This window comes from Homo sapiens, chromosome X, assembly GCF_000001405.40.
Source record: "Homo sapiens chromosome X, GRCh38.p14 Primary Assembly".
In the NCBI taxonomy this organism is placed as follows: domain Eukaryota; kingdom Metazoa; phylum Chordata; class Mammalia; order Primates; family Hominidae; genus Homo; species Homo sapiens.
Window position 1 is genome coordinate 7,910,678 of NC_000023.11, and position 15,690 is coordinate 7,926,367.

Sequence of the window (15,690 nt, forward strand, 5' to 3'; positions counted from 1 at the left end):
ATTTGATTAAAAAATACATATCTCTGGTACGTGTTAAGCAGATACTCTGATTATAAAATACATATCTCTGGTATGTGCTAAACAGATACCCTATTTGATTATAAAATACATATCTCTGGTATGTGTTAGATACCTACTCTATTTAATTATAAATAGATATCTACTCTATTTAGATATCTAGTAGTTAGATATCTACTCTATTTAATTATAAAATATATATCTCTGGAATGTGTTAAATAGGTATAATATTTGATTAAAAGATACATATCTCTAGTAATTGTTAGATAACTGATTATAAAATACATATCTCTGGTGTATGTGCTAAACAGATACTCTATTTGATTACAAAATATATATCTCTGCTATGTGTTAAATAGCTATTCCATTTGATTATAAGATGCGTATTTCTGGTATGTGTTAAATAGATACTGCATTTAATTACAAAATGCATATCTCTGGTATGTGCTAAACAGATACTCTATTTGATTATAAAATACATATCTCTGGTGTCTGTAAAATAGCTACTGTATTAATTATAAAATGCATGTTTCCAGTATACGTTAAATAAACACATTAAACCAAATACTATATTTGGTTATAAAATACGTATCTGTGACATATGTGAAATAGACACTATATTTGAGAATAAAATGCTCATGTTGAACCTGTGTCCATGCAATGGAGGAGCTGCCTTGGGTCGAATGGTGAATACTCAAAACAAACTCTGTGTAGATCACAGAAGGAAGCTGGGTCACAGTCAGCGCAGACTTCAGGTGGAAGCCCATGTCTAAATTTCCCTAAAAGAACTGGCATCCTGTCTTAAGTGCCAGCTCCAAGTGAGGAGCACTCTCCTCAAACAAAATGGGTTTTGGCCTTGCAGTGATCAACGTGTCTGGGTAAGTAGAGAGCCTTGGAGGGGAGTGGGTCGTCCCCTAGCAGAGGGGCTGAGGACAGGCTGGAAGGAACCTATGCCGCATTGTCTGGGGGAGGACAAGGTGTGGAGCCCTAAAGCCTTTTCTCACCCTGACGGTGGTACAACTCTGCTTAGAAGGGGCTGTGAGTATGGACTTTACTAGGTGGAAAAAAAATCGTTCACTGCTAACAACAACAGAATATATATATATGATGAAAATAAGAGCATCACAGTCAATCATTCCCATTCACAAGATCTTGATGATAAGTTATCACTAGCCCTGTATATTCTTTCCCTCTTAAAGAGAAACAAAGCTATTTAGGAGGAAAAAAACATAAACTGATTTGAAGCCACTAGAATAATTATAAAATTGGATGTTTCAAAAGAAACATATTAATATAGGGAGGAGGGTAATTCCTCAGTTATAACAAGCTTACCTGCCCTTTGTATTCCACTAGCTTCAGTCCTGCATAAATGGGCACAAAACTGCTGGCTAGGAGGACCTAGATGGATAAAATAAAGAAGCAGCTCATGATTACAGGCATGAACATTCAGACAATACAGTTGATGTAGTATTGACTAGCAAAATCTCAATAAATAAGCCCCACAGACTTCAAGTGCAGCACTGCACGTAATTACATAAAAGATAACACTTTATATCGGAAAAGACTCTAAACAGATAGGTACAAGTTGACATACTCTGAATCAATCAACTTCACCTAGGTAAAAATCAGCATTTTAATAGTAGACACACAAGTTACTACAAAATGAAATTTAAGGTAAGTCTAAGTTCCTGAGTATGTAAAGGTTACAGATAAATTATATGTAATGTTCCATCATATACTGTAAAAATCATGTTACAGTTGCACTCCTGCTTTCTGGAGGAACAAAGCCCTCCGATTATGACAGGAGAGATTAGTCCGCAGCTCAGAGATGTTCTCATTTATGTCACCAGGATTTGCAAAGGGAATGGCATATTTTATGTTCCAATGACGTGGTCAGGATATGTAATGGAACCCTGGCAAGCAGTGACATCAATTATGCTTTATCTCCCATTTAAACAGTTGAAAAAGATTGTCATTTAGGAAATTACCATTCCATACATCATGGGAAGTTGGGCTCTGATAGCTTTTCTGAAATGTAAATGTTTTATTTTGCCGTGTAGTTTCCAAATCACTAGTGTTCTATTTGAAAACATACAGCATTAGATACTGAATATTTTTTAAGCTATAATCTTTCAACTGATAAGTGAAAGACTCTGGCTGTTTGTTGTCAAAGATTTCATGAGTTTTTTTTCATCATACATTATTCAGAAATGGATTATGGCTCAAATGCTGACTTGCAGATCATCCACTTACAATTATTTAGAACTCAGAAGGCATTTCCTCCAAAAATCAATGTTATAGGTATGGTTTTTGGGTCAGCTCTCAAAAGCCTATTTATTCTGAACTGCAACTAAATTACAGACTCAGTCACCAGCATAACAATTTCCATAGGAAAATCCTCTTTTGAGCTGTGACCCGACACAGCTGGAATCCACTCTTGCCATGTTTATTTCTGCACCAGGTACAGGGAACTTCCATAGCTTTCTTATGCAGTGGTTCTTCCTTGGACATGTCTCCTGTTTCCTCATTACCAAAAAACCCACTGAAAGGAGAGGGACTTGTGTCTCTCCTGGTATGTCCAGCCCTTGGCAGAGTTAGTACTCAACAAACATCTGTTGGGTATCTCTCTCCCTTCTCTGTGATGGGAATGGACCCAACACTCCTCCACCTACCTCAATAGTGGCACTAAAGAAGGTTGCCCAGTGCTGTTGGTGGCATGTTGGTTGCAAAGGCACAGGCCTGGTTGTAACAGCTCCTATAGCAACAGGCTCCTGACGAGTGCCCACAGAAGCTTCTGGGGCCTCAGGTTTCAGCAGTGGCAAATTCAAGGGTAACAGCACAACACAAGGACTCCAGCAGGAAAGAAGGTAAGAAATAGCCAAGTGTGAAAGGGTTCTATTGCACCATGCTGGTGCTAGGTGCCAGAATCAGTTATATAATTTCTGGGTCCTGTCCAAAATAAGATAAATGCAGGGCCCCCTGTTCAGAAAGTATGGAGAATATTAAGATGTTGACAGCAGAGCATTAAACCAATGGTGAGGCCCTTTGGATAGTGGAGCCACGTGCAAATGCACAGGTCATACATTCATGAAGTAGACCTTGCCTCAAATATAGTGTCTCATTTAATTATTTCTCGACCCTGTCTCAAAAAGATAAAGTTGCTCAAAGGTCTCTCTGCTAATACGTGGTTGAGACTGTCCCCAGAATCAATTTAATATAAAATGTATATTTTTACCAGAGCCAACATACACGTCAGATTTCTCACAATGGGTCTTTTTTTCATCTTTTGGTCAATTTCATGCACATCTATCTCAATCGCTTGTTTATTGAAATATTGAAAGCATGCTAATTTGCAGCACTGTTTCCCAAAGGAAAGCATGCACTTCTATTTATTTTTTATGTGCTTGTTTATTTATTTATTACAAGGCATAATAATAACCTCACGCAAGGTCTGCCAACCTTCTACAAAATGTCAATGTGGACATGCCCGCACTGTGACATTCTTCTCAAAATCTCAACTTTAAATGGCCCGCATAATGCAATACTGTGACATTAGAGCAATCATGTCTCTTTCACAAAGAGGCAAAGCAGGAGTGAGTAGCACCTTGGGTGATTTGGTGAAGATCGCTTAATAAATCAATAGGAGAGAGAGGACAGAAAGCAGGCATCTTCAACTCCAACCCTCTCAGTCCACCGGTAGCAATGACATCATTGGCTTCAGAGAAAGGTTGTTTACGGTTAAGGTAACTGCATTCACCCTAACTAAACCTGACCTTATCATCAATTGGCTATGCTTTTAAAAAAATAATCACAGACCCTAGGTATGTTTCGCAAGCACAATGTAGCTATTTAATGAAGTTATTCAGCAAATGCAACACTGCAAAGCAATAACTAGAGCAATTTGTAGATAGCGTACATATTGTGAAATTACAGTACTTAGAGGTCTTTAAAGAACCAAAGACAATACATAAATATAATGATTTATTTCACTATTCTGCAGAGAGACATGTGGACTGCAAAAAAATCACTAACCTTAGAATTATGTTTTTTTTTTCTTTTCCCCCGTGTCAAAGTATAATGTAGAGTTCACAAGTTAATGCTTGCAACTATTTTGAGATATTTGGATGAAAAATGCTATCCAATTACTTTCCTACAGATAATAACAGTAAGAATCCTCCTAAATGATATGAAAAGTGCAATGAACTGGAAAATACTTGTCACTTCTCCAAATCAATGTATTTGTTTTTGTCATAGCTGACTCTCCCTTTATATGGACTGATGATTTGTATATCAAACCAAGTTTAGTTGGGAAATTAGCTTTAGATAGTTAAGAGCTAAGCAGCTTTTCTTATTTGTAGTCAGCTTACTGCCATTTTATTGCAGGCAAATAGAATTTCCTAAGAAAGGAGATAAAGACTGACATTCTAAGGTCATGTAATAAAATATTATGCCTAAACATGTGCTTTTAGTGTATCTCACCTCACAATATTCCCAGTGAAATTCACCTCGCCAATGAACCTCAACACGTCTACAGCACTTGTTCTCAACTGGAGGTGATTTTACCCGCTAGGGACATTTAGCAATGTGTCTGTCATAACCTGGGGTGGAGGGTGGGGGGGGGGGTGTGTCCTGCTAGCATCTACTGAACACAGACCAGGGATGCTGCTCAAATTCCTACAAAGGACAGACAGCTGTCACAATACATAACTATCTGGGTAATAATCTGGGCCCTTACTGCCAGGAGTGCAGTGTTTGTGGTTGAGAACGCTGATGTGGAAAGCAGGGGTATACTTTTCACACCCTATCACTTGGTACAGCACTTTAAATGTTGGACATATGTGAAACCACTGATTTGTGTTCTTACTAAACACACAATGATAAAAATGAGAGCTAGTGTCTTCCTGTAGCAACTGTATAAAACATCGCCAGGTGCGCATTCCCGACACGTTCTGATTGACTCTCTTCATTTTGCATTTTACAGAAAAGAGGTATTTAGAAAATTATGTGGCCTAGCTTCCTTAGGGATTAAATTCTCAGCAAGTTTCATTTATGCCTAAAGTTTACTGTGGACTTTAATGAGAATTAACTGTTTATACAGAACTTGCTGCTGTAGTTCAAATTCAAAGACAGATTCAAATTTATCTTCCTCAGTTTTTCCAAGATAATGACCAATCTTAAATTCAGTTTTTATTTCACCTTCACAAGGCTAAATGTGAGAGGATCTTGTTAAGAGCATTCTCACACATGCAAAGAAATTCAGGACATCACTGCAACAGAGACAGGGCAGAATTTTCTCAAGACGGCCAGGGACACTATGGTGCAGGAAAGGCTTCCTGGGTACCTCTACCCTAGAGCATTCACACGTGTCAAAAGACCCTTTCGGAAAACACTTGTGCATCAGTCTTAAACATGAAGAATTCAATGATTTGTACCAATTCAGGGAAGTAGTGGAACTCTACGACGCCATTGCACTGTTAATTTATGCATCATTTCAGCTCAGCCTTGGAAGTTGCATATGACTTTCTTTTAACCTAGGGGCTCACCTCCCTAGTTAGGCTTTGCTGAAGGCTAACATTAAAATGTGTTTGGATTTCCTAGTTGCATGCATGCTTCTAAAGAAAAAGAGCCCACAATAAAATCTGGAACTCGAAATGAATGAGTTGGTATGCAAAATGCACACACTTGACACTCGGGGGATACTGTGTAGAGCGGCACACCAGGAGAGGAATCAGGAAGGAATCATGCTAAATAATGAACAGTATGAAGGGATGGATGTCTGGAGAGTGGAGGCACTTGAAGGTGACCATGCACATCTGGTGTGTACTTAAGAGCTGATGAAATACTTTCATACATACTTCATTTGACCTTGTTCTGAAGGTCTCCATCTTAAAGATGAAGAAACCAAGGCTCCAAGAAGTTGAGACTCGCCAAGGGTCCCAGAGCCCACCAACAACAGGGTTAGGTGGATGTGTACCACCCCTCCATGACTCTTTTCAATTCCCTAAATTATCTGCATTTGCAGGAACTGATCTCAGCTTGGTGTTGATCTGCTGGCGACCCACAGACATAAAGGGTCATCCTTGGGGGTAACATTTTTCTGGGTGTGGCACCTGGAAATAAATCTCTCAGACGGGAAATAAAGACATGATTTTGGAGGGGGGCCTCCTGGGGCTCTGGTTAACTCTATAAAGGGGTCTCCCCTCTGCAGGCTGCCTTCAAGTAGTTGAGCAGACATCATCTGTGTTTCCCTTTGTCAGTACAGTTACTATAAAGGAGGAGGGGAATGGTTGGCACCAATAAATTCTGAACAAAGGAATGCCTTAAGGCCTGCACCTGTCTTATAACAGTTTATAAAGTAGAAAAGACTGAGTTAAATCCTCATGAACGTAAGATTCAAAATTCTGTGGAAATTCAACCCCAAATAAAATGAATAGTTGGACCACACAGTCCACAAGGGTTTCAAGAAAACAATCAACTAGCATTGCAGCTATCAAATGAGTGATTTTTCCATGCTACTAAAGGTGAAGCTCATTAAGATAAATTAAGTATGAATCATCACACAAAATTATTTATTTTAAAAAAGAAGGCTTATAATGATGAGCTGTAAAATCAGATGCCTAAAGGTAGCAAGAACTCAGTAGCAACCATTTCCTGAAGTATTACAGATATCGGTTAGCACATTGTTCATGAAGACAGGTAATAAGCAAGGGGTTAAAGAATAACACTGATAAGAAAAAGTAATCCTATTCAGCCTGAAGAAAAGAAAGTTGTGATTTAATATGGCTTTAAAATTTCATGACAGATTCATACAAGGGTGCTGAGCAGGGGTGTGTGTGGGTTATTATGTTATTCGTTCATTATTTATGAAATATTAGCTCCATTCAGCATGCATAAAGGGCTTTATCATTTAAAACACACTTTCACATGCTTTATCTTATTTATTCTGTACAGTAACACTCATTAGTATTACTGTGTGAATTACTCCATTTCAGAGATGAGAAAACTGAGACTCAAAAGTAATCAGTCCAAGAGGACAACGTCAGGAAACGACAGGCCTAGACATGATCACCGGGACACTCATAAAACAAGTAATCATTCTTGAGGAGATTCAAAAACACGTCAAAATACACACACAGACACAAACACACAAGCACACACTCTCACATATTCTAAGCTACAGGTTTCTAGTTGGATTTTCAGGTACATAGGCACTCTGTAACAAACAGCATCAGTCAGCTAGTGGATAATGAAAAACTAGGCATTTTTTAAAAAATTCAACTATTAAGTAGCAGAATAAATGAGTTAATGATAAAAACAGAAAATACAACATGGAGCAAAGTTTAAAGAAGGTGAAAATCACCAGTGTTTAGTATTTCATGCTCTCCCATGCTCTTTTACTCTAACTTGAGTTTTAATCAACCTCTCTCTTTCTCTCTGTCTCCCATCCCCTCCCATCTACAGAATATCCAGATACTGGGAAGTAGACCTGTATTAGTTCATTTTCACACTGCTGATAAAGACATACCCGAGACTGGGTAAATTATAAAGAAAAAGAGGTTTAATGGCCTCACAATTCCATGTGGCTGGGGAGGCCTCACAATCGTGGTGGAAGGTGAAAGGCACGTTTTACATGGCAGCAGGCAAGAGAGAGAATGAGAGAGAAGCAAAAGCAGAAACCCCTTATAAAACCATCAGATGTTGTGAGACTTATTCACTACCAGGAGAACAGAATGGGATGGGGAAAACCATCCCCATAATTCAATTATCTCCCACTGGGTCCCTCCCACAATACATGGGAATTATGGGAACTACAATTCAAGGTGAGATTTGGGTGGGGACACAGGCAAACCATATCAAGACCCCAGGCTGTATGTTCAGAGCGAGGTGTGCCAAGCCCTGGGAGACCCACAGCTACCCATCATCGAGCTGCTTCAATGCATGGCTTCAGAGCCTCCTGTCTCCACCTAAGGGGAGTGGGGTGACCTTCAGGCAGCCTCCCCAGTCCCAACCAAAAAGGTCGGAAGCACCATCCTCCCATGGCACCACCTCAGACAACATTCTCCCACCAGCCACTTCTTTCACCGGAACATATATACTTGATCATGTCCCTACCTGGCAGGGGGTTTACTTTACTTCCTCTTCACACTTCTTCCTTTGCTACATCATCCCTAGTCTTCCCGCACTCTCACTCTTTTCCCCTAAATGCTTCATGAGTATTCCAGGCATAGGTTTCACAGTTTGATAATCACCATCTGCTATCAAGGAACTATTCATCCTTCCTTTTTAGTTCTGAAAAATGTTAAAACATCCTCCTAAACACGTGGAATGTTTCTTGTAGAACCTAGAATAAATGTCAATTATTCCATATTCTCCTTACAAAGTATTACACATTTGTGTCAACAATTTCTCTTCTGTTCAATGAACTCAAGTAATTACACAAATTCTCTGAATAGTTATTATCCAAAACAAAGGAACTAGAAAAACGTCATGTTTTCTTAACAGCAATAGTTTGCTATTGCCGTTATAACAAATTACTACAAATTTAACCCCTTCAAACAAGACACATGTATTGTCACACAGTCTGAGGGTCCAAAGTCTGGTATGGGTCCCACTGGGGAAAATCCAGGTGTCGGCAGGGCTGCATCTCTTTCTGGAGGCTCTGGGGGAGAATGTGTCTCCTTGCTCAGTCAGGTGTTAGGAGAATCCAGTTCCATAGGTTAAAGGGCAGATGCCCCCTTTTCTTTGCTGGCTGTCAGTGGGGACCTGCTTTCCGAGAAGCCTCTGTGCTTCCCTGGCATGTGGTTGCTACATCTCCAAACCAGCCATGACACAGAATCCAGAAAAGGTGTCCACTTTTCAAGATTCATGTACTTAGTTTGGGTCCACTTGGATAATATGGGATCATCCTCCTATCTCAGACCTTTAATTTAATCACATCTACAGAATCCCTTTTGCCAGGTAAGGTTATATCTGGACAGGTTCTGGGGATTAGGGTAAGGACAGTTTTGGGTGTCATTCTTCTCTCTGCCACATAAAAGGGATGGATAGGGAGGATGAGCATTTTATCCAGTGTGGGGTATATATAGTTAGGGAAGAATGCTAGACACATGAACCACAGTCACAGCTGGGCCCCAGCCAGCTATGTGATTTTGCCCAGGTCATACAGTATGGAGGGCCCAGCTTCTTTCTTTTCTTTTATTTTAAATCGAGCCAGTGTAACAGATGCAACCTTGGTTCATATCCATTCGTTTCACGCATATTACGGAGTGCCTACACAATGGCTGGCAGTGTGGCAGGTACTGGGCTGCGGCAGTGAGCAAACCAGAGAAACCCCTGCCTCTTGGAGCTTACATTCTGGTGAAGGAGGATGGACAATGAAAGCTGAACAGGACAGCAGTAAAAGAGGTAGCATGCTAAAGAGTGATATGTAAATCAGGAGGGATGTGGGGAGATCAGGGGCTGAGAGTTCTGTCATTGTAGACAGAAAAACCAGGGATGGACCCCGTGAGAGAGATCTGGGGCAGAATCCCCCTCATTTTATGTCACAAGAGCACACAGTCTGTTCCTAGGTAAACAAGAGGATGCATGTCTGCCCACCGCAAGCCTTATCTGTCTGTATTGGACATTGATGGCTTAGGACCACTTAGCATGGGTTGCCCAGCTCTTCCCTTGACACTGTCAAGTCTACATAATATTGTAATAAGATTATAGAATAATGTCTTTTTATAAGATAGACTCTTGTAAGTGAGAGAATGACGTAATAGGGATATCGAGGGAAAATATTCTAATCTATTAAGTGGCAAAGTAATTTTACTTGTCAATTCAACATTTCATTAAGTATTTCAAATGACAGCATCCGAATATATGGAATCTTACCACTTACTCTCAACCCATTACCTTCTGCTTTCGAAAACATACATTCTCCATATTACCTGAAGCTTGTTATGATTTGCACTAGAGGGAAAAACAAGAAAAAATTCCAAGAGAAGTACACCCTTTCCACCCTACAAATATTCAGTGCATTACCACAGCAGGCACATTGGTATTTGGAAATCAACCAGCTGAAGTATTTCCCAGAGATGATGAATTCTCAACCAACCAACTTTCAAATGTGTTTGGATAGAAAGACATCAGAACAAAATGGAAGAAACAAAATGGAACATTAGATTGAAAAGTTAGGAGACCTGGGTACCAGAATTAGCTCCCACTGCCACGCAGGATAATCTTGGGTACATAGGTACGTACATCACATAAAATCTTTCCATTCACTTCTCTGTTAAAAACATAAAAGGGATCAGGTGTGGTGGTTCATGCCTGTAATTCCAGCACTTTGGGGGGCTGAGGTGGGCAGATCATTTGAGGTCAGTAGTTCAAGACTGGCCTGGCCAACACAGTGAAACCCTGTCTCTACTAAAAATACAAAAATTAGGTGGACATGGTGGTACGTGCCTGTAATCCTAGCTACTCAGGAGGCTGAGGCAGGAGAATTGCTTGAATCTAGGAGGCAGAGGTTGCAATGAGCCAAGATTGCACCACTGCACTCCAGCCTAGGCAAACGAGCGAGACTCCATCTCAAAACAAAAACAAAAACATAAAAGGGTCACAATAACACCTACCCTACTTGATTTACAGAAGGACTTGAAGGACTGAATAAGAGAGTACATGTTAAAAACCCTACATACACTCCAAAGTATTAGCCACATAAATTTCAGGAATTATTATTGCTACTAAACTGCATCAGCGACTTGCTTCACATAATCAACGTGAGATCTGAACATTGCAGGAAAACACTGAACAAGTACAGGGAGCATTTGGATCACAGTGCATCATAAGGCGGCCTCAGGAGGGATCCTGGCGAATACTTTCATCAAACAAGTAATTTACTGAGCACTCAACCATCTATCGGGCCTGGTAAGAGACACAGGATCTAAAGAACGTGGTAATGCTCATTACTTTATATGAAGTATTGAAATCAGCACTTGCTGATTTCTTCAAATAGGAAACATGGCTTTGTTACCTTAATGAGGTCCTCCCTGGAGGAAAAAGTGGAGACTAAGTGATTTTCTCTGGTTTTGGCGTTGGTGATGGATACGTGCAGTCGGTTCTGGGCCAGCTCGTGAGCGCTGGGAGGAAGAATCGACTCCATCCCACTTCTAAAGAAGAAAAAGCAATCTGAATTACTCACCTTTAATTATTGAACTCCCTGTAAATATTTTACAAGAGAGAATGCTGAGCTTGCCAAAGTTTGTACAGAGAGTCGTCAACATTCTGTCTTCATGTACTTTTGGGCAAAATGTACTCTGTATACCTTAGTCGGGCCATGAAGTCATAACCGGGCGTTACTGCCCCGAAAGACTGCCTTCTGATTTCTTCGGCAAACTTGTAGGTAAATTGGTTACATTCCTAAAAAAAGAAAATTAAGAAGTGACCCTAGGTGTTGTAAAGAAAACAATCATTCCACTTCTAAAACTTGGGATTCTATAGACCCAACAGCAAATGTAGGGTGTCATGTTATTAAAGGTGTGCAAATTCCCCACCTGGCCGGGGCCTCACCCACCACTCTCAGGCCCTTTGCAAGGTATACACTCTCAAGAATCCTAATCTTTTTTTGTTTTTTCCTTTGTAAAGCACCTTAAATGGCCTTTGCCCCATCTGAAAAATCCTTGAAGGCTCAATCTGAATTTTAATTGAGCACATTCTTCAAAAGGTTTCCTCAGCGCAATTAACCTTCTCTCCCACCCCTATTTTGTGGTCTCAGCAGCAGTTTGATTACAACCGTGCAACAAAGCTGATTACAAATGACAGCACCAGTGACAGAAATAGGAGTAGTGACGTCTATGGTTTGCACAGACTGAATCAGAGTCTTCGGAGATTCATCTTGGGCACTGGTATTTTATAAAGTCTTTCAGGGATGCTCATGTCTACCCTGGACTGGGATCCACAGAGGTGACACTGTCAGTTCATCTTCACATCACCCTGCAGGGTGGGTATAACCATCCCACTTGACAGACAAGAAAACGGAGGATTGGAGAGTTCAAGTGTCTATCCCAATATCTCATTAAAAATGAGTCTCAGAGCCAGAATTTACATCTAAGTCTATTTTGTATTAAATAATGAATTAATTTGGCAACCAACTGGGCACCAGGTACTTGGCTAGGCACTGGGACTTGGAGAGGACAAGATACAAAGACCCTGTGCTCATGAGAGTCATAAGTGCCTCCAAGAGCAGGTCATAGAGGGCTATAAGAGCCCCCACAAGGGTGTGTTTGGCTCTCATTTAGTGCAAAAAATAAATAACAACAGGTAAACTGTTTTGAGAATATGAGGACATCAAGTCTCAAATTCAGGTAAATCATTCAATGTCTTAACATTGCAGAATTTCAGTTAAGTGGCTATATTATTGCAGCAGTCTCTCCTCTCCCCACAAAGATGTCCACATTCTAGTCCCTGGAACCTGTGACTAGGAGACCTTCTATGTTAAAAGGGACTTTGTAGATCCAGTTAAGGACCTTGAGATGAGGAGATAATCCTGGATGACCTGGGTAGGCCCAATATCATCACAAGGTTTCTTGTAAGGGAAGGAGGGAGGTAGGAGAGGCAGAGTTGGAGAGATTTGAAGATGCTGTGCTTATGGCTTTAGAAATCAAGGAAGGGGTCAGGAGCCAAGGAGTCTGGGCACCCTCCAGAAACTGGAAAAGGTAAGGAAATGGATTCTCCCCTGGAGCCTCTGGAGAGAGTGAGCATGGACATTTTGATTTTAGCTCAGTGAGACCCTTTTAGACTTAAGACCGCCAGAGCTGGAAGATGATAAACACATGCTGTTTTAAGCCACTACGCTGAAGGTCCTTTGTCAAATCAGCAACGGGAAATGAATACAGTGTGTGTCAACCTCCAACCTCATGGGTTGCCAAAGGTTTCCCTCCAATTTGACACCCAGGCTGGGACTTAAATATAAACAGGAGTTGGGCAGAGGACGAAGGTGAAAGCAGAGGATAGTAAAAACAACAGCAAGAACAATTCTGAGAGGGGCACAGAGCTGAAATGTGTCCCTATGGCGAGCCACAAGTAGGGCTAAGTCACATGGGGCCTTGTGATACATGCTGAGAAACCTGGGTCACATTGTCCTAAGTCCACAGACAGCCCCTGCCCCGGGGGTAATGAGGTGATCAGATGTGCCTTTGGGTGACATCACTCTAAGCGCTATGAGGTAGGTGGATTGTAGGGAGCTTGAATTGATATAGGCTGTGGGAAGCTCCTGGGTGAGAAATGGGGGTAGCCCCACCAAATGTATGTTCATTCTACTGAGCTAGACTGCCCATCTAGCCTATTTCTTTGTACTAATATTAGTTATATTCAATACTCTCCATAGCCCGGACCAGACTGTAAACTTATTAAAGATGGACTTATTCATCTTTGAGTTCCCCACTGAGTCTAGCACCATGGCTTCCTCGCAAATTGTGAGGGCTGAGGAAAGTCTTGCAGCATTGAGCTCTTCCACATCAATGTCTAAATTTGCCTACCACTTAAAATATGCCCAGTATCAGGTGCTCCTCTTAATTATTCATGCATAAGCTCAGAAGATTAATTACACACGTATTTGTCACAACAGTAAAAAGCTTGAGGAACTTATATCATCAGCGAGAACCGAGCGAACACGAATCTGAGTAGGTAGAAACATTTGCTAAAAAAAACTCAAGGCTATCCTACAAGTGGATTATTTCAGATGCTAAAAATAAAGGAACTAAAATAACCTTAAGTCAAAGGGTTACTTTGGCTGAAAAATTATTTTGAAGAAGAACAAATGAGGATGCCCTAAGGAAACTAAGAAAATTATTTTCTACCTTCCCATGGGAGCACCAGATAAAGACACACACCTTTTCATCATACCAGCACCATCAGACAACACAACCCAGTCTCTCATTTAGTGCAAAAAATAAATAACAACAGGTAAACTGATCTGAGAATATGATGACATCAAGTCTCCAATTCAGGTAAATTATTCAATGTCTTAACATGGCAGAATTTTAGTTAAGTATAAATGGCTGTACTAGTGCAGTATTTCCAAATCAGGTTAATTCTAAATCATACAATACATTTTTTAATTTGCTGATAATTGGAAACCAAGTCTACATAACTCCAAAGCTTAGGATTTGCCACAGCTCAAGAAAAGACTGCAGTAAAAAGGAAGAAGTGACACCCTGAAAGCCCTCTGCTTCAAAAACGAAACACAGTTATGGGAAGGAGGTAGCTTGTAATTCAAAGCTTATGAATCTGCTAGTTTAGGGGGAATTTTCCGACCTCATTTATACCTTGCATGGCTTAAGGTTCTGGTCCTGTTTAATCTCTGCAGTTTTTAAATCACTTTTCTAGTTCCCTGTAAATCAACCATATAAAGACAGGAAGATAGGTGGATTTCTGAATGATTGGCCTCAAATCTAGCTTCCCTTTGATAAGCAGCTCACAAAAGATCTGAAATGAGATTCTGATGTTTAACATTGCATAGTTTTGGAATTTTAAATGTGACTGAAATTCATTCTTGGGTATGAGGGTGTTAAATTGTTATTTCATTATTGTTCAAAGCTGCTAGAGTACGTAATGATTAACAAATATAATATTCTCCAACTACGGAATCCAGCTCTCACAGTCAGCAAATGATTGATCACTGTCTGGATAGCAGAAAACAGATTTTAAAACATAGATTGCATTAAATAAAGTACTTAATGAATAATTATTTGTATTACTTCTGGATAAATTGCTTGGAACTCAGAGCTTCCTCTTACTGTGAGAATTAAAAAAGAATTAAATTCCTATACCATTCCACTTAATAGAAACTGCATGCCCACATTTTAATTTATGTATCTATTTCTAAGTAGCAGTGAGGTAAGACTTGTTGCCCACATGTTCAAGGCCTTGAAAACAGGCCCCATGCTCTTCTCATGATCATAGAAAGAAGAAATATCCTTTGCTTGAAAGGAACAGAGCTGGAATCTTAAGGATAAATAAAAACTCAAGAGTAATATAAGTCATTTTATTTCCTTATTTCACTATCACCCAAAATAATCTTTTCCACAACCAGAGCACAGATCCCTAATAATTACATCTTAAGAGAAAAGTCCTAATCCTTTCTGTTTCCAAGCAAACGATTATTTCTCTGCAGTGTTAACTTAGTAGAGTCAATGCTGGTGTTTGCCTTTGGGTCTTAATTTCTTGATGAGGAACACAGCCTAAGTTACTACTTAATTACCTCTATTTTTTCTGGTGCTGTTAGCAGAACAGAAGCAACCAACGATCCCGCAGACGCCCCAGCGAAGGCTTTGACATCCTTCACAAGTTTTTTGCCATGTCTGCAAAGTGCAGATGCTGCCCCCAAGTGGTAAATGCCCAGAAATCCACACGCTGCAAATGATAGGTTGATGTGCTTCATTCTAGCTGTAGCACTGGCAATACAAAAAACAAAAATGCTGTAAGTTGGAATAGTTTATCCCACATACTGTGTAGTCTTATGTTGATCATCGTTCCAAGGCTTTCTTCTAACATCATTCTCTGTTTTAAGCACAGTGGTTTCAATTAATTCTAATTAAACACAAGAATCTTTCAAGGAAACCCTTTCTTTCCCTCCTCACCTTGACCCAAGTCTTATACATTAAAACAAAACAAAACAAAAACATTCCA

At 40.1% G+C, this 15,690-nt stretch overlaps 1 protein-coding gene across 3 annotated transcripts in view, besides 4 other annotated features; it reads right to left on the reverse strand.

Moving 5' to 3' along the window:
• PNPLA4 (patatin like domain 4, phospholipase and triacylglycerol lipase) overlaps positions 1 to 15,690 on the reverse strand; it is a 29,478-nt gene that overhangs the window by 12,431 nt on the left and 1,357 nt on the right. For 2 of the 3 annotated variants that reach the window (NM_001142389.2, NM_004650.3), the window contains exons 2-5: positions 15,263 to 15,455; positions 11,327 to 11,421; positions 11,036 to 11,171; positions 1,351 to 1,416 (exon numbers count right to left, since the gene is read on the reverse strand). In NM_001142389.2, the coding sequence (NP_001135861.1) occupies positions 1,351 to 1,416; positions 11,036 to 11,171; positions 11,327 to 11,421; positions 15,263 to 15,442 (477 nt within the window). In that variant the 5' untranslated portion in view covers positions 15,443 to 15,455. The remainder of the gene's footprint in view (positions 1 to 1,350; positions 1,417 to 11,035; positions 11,172 to 11,326; positions 11,422 to 15,262; positions 15,456 to 15,690) is intronic. The other variant, NM_001172672.2, reaches the window with a different exon arrangement.
• Positions 10,822 to 12,021: an enhancer, noted in NCBI's record as "BRD4-independent group 4 enhancer chrX:7889540-7890739 (GRCh37/hg19 assembly coordinates)". NCBI's record gives its function as "activates an origin of replication core promoter dependent on BRD2, P300/CBP, MED14 and CDK7 cofactors, and independent of BRD4, by STARR-seq in HCT116 cells {active_cell/tissue: HCT116}" and the evidence as "EXISTENCE:reporter gene assay evidence [ECO:0000049][PMID:35650434]".
• Positions 15,171 to 15,465: a silencer, noted in NCBI's record as "tiled region #9499; K562 Repressive non-DNase unmatched - State 12:CtcfO". NCBI's record gives its function as "represses a minimal TATA promoter and a strong SV40 promoter by Sharpr-MPRA in K562 cells {active_cell/tissue: K562}" and the evidence as "EXISTENCE:reporter gene assay evidence [ECO:0000049][PMID:27701403]".
• Positions 15,171 to 15,491: a biological region, named in NCBI's record as "Sharpr-MPRA regulatory region 9499".
• Positions 15,442 to 15,491: an enhancer, noted in NCBI's record as "active region_29392". NCBI's record gives its function as "activates an Ori minimal core promoter by ATAC-STARR-seq in GM12878 lymphoblastoid cells {active_cell/tissue: GM12878}" and the evidence as "EXISTENCE:reporter gene assay evidence [ECO:0000049][PMID:35858748]".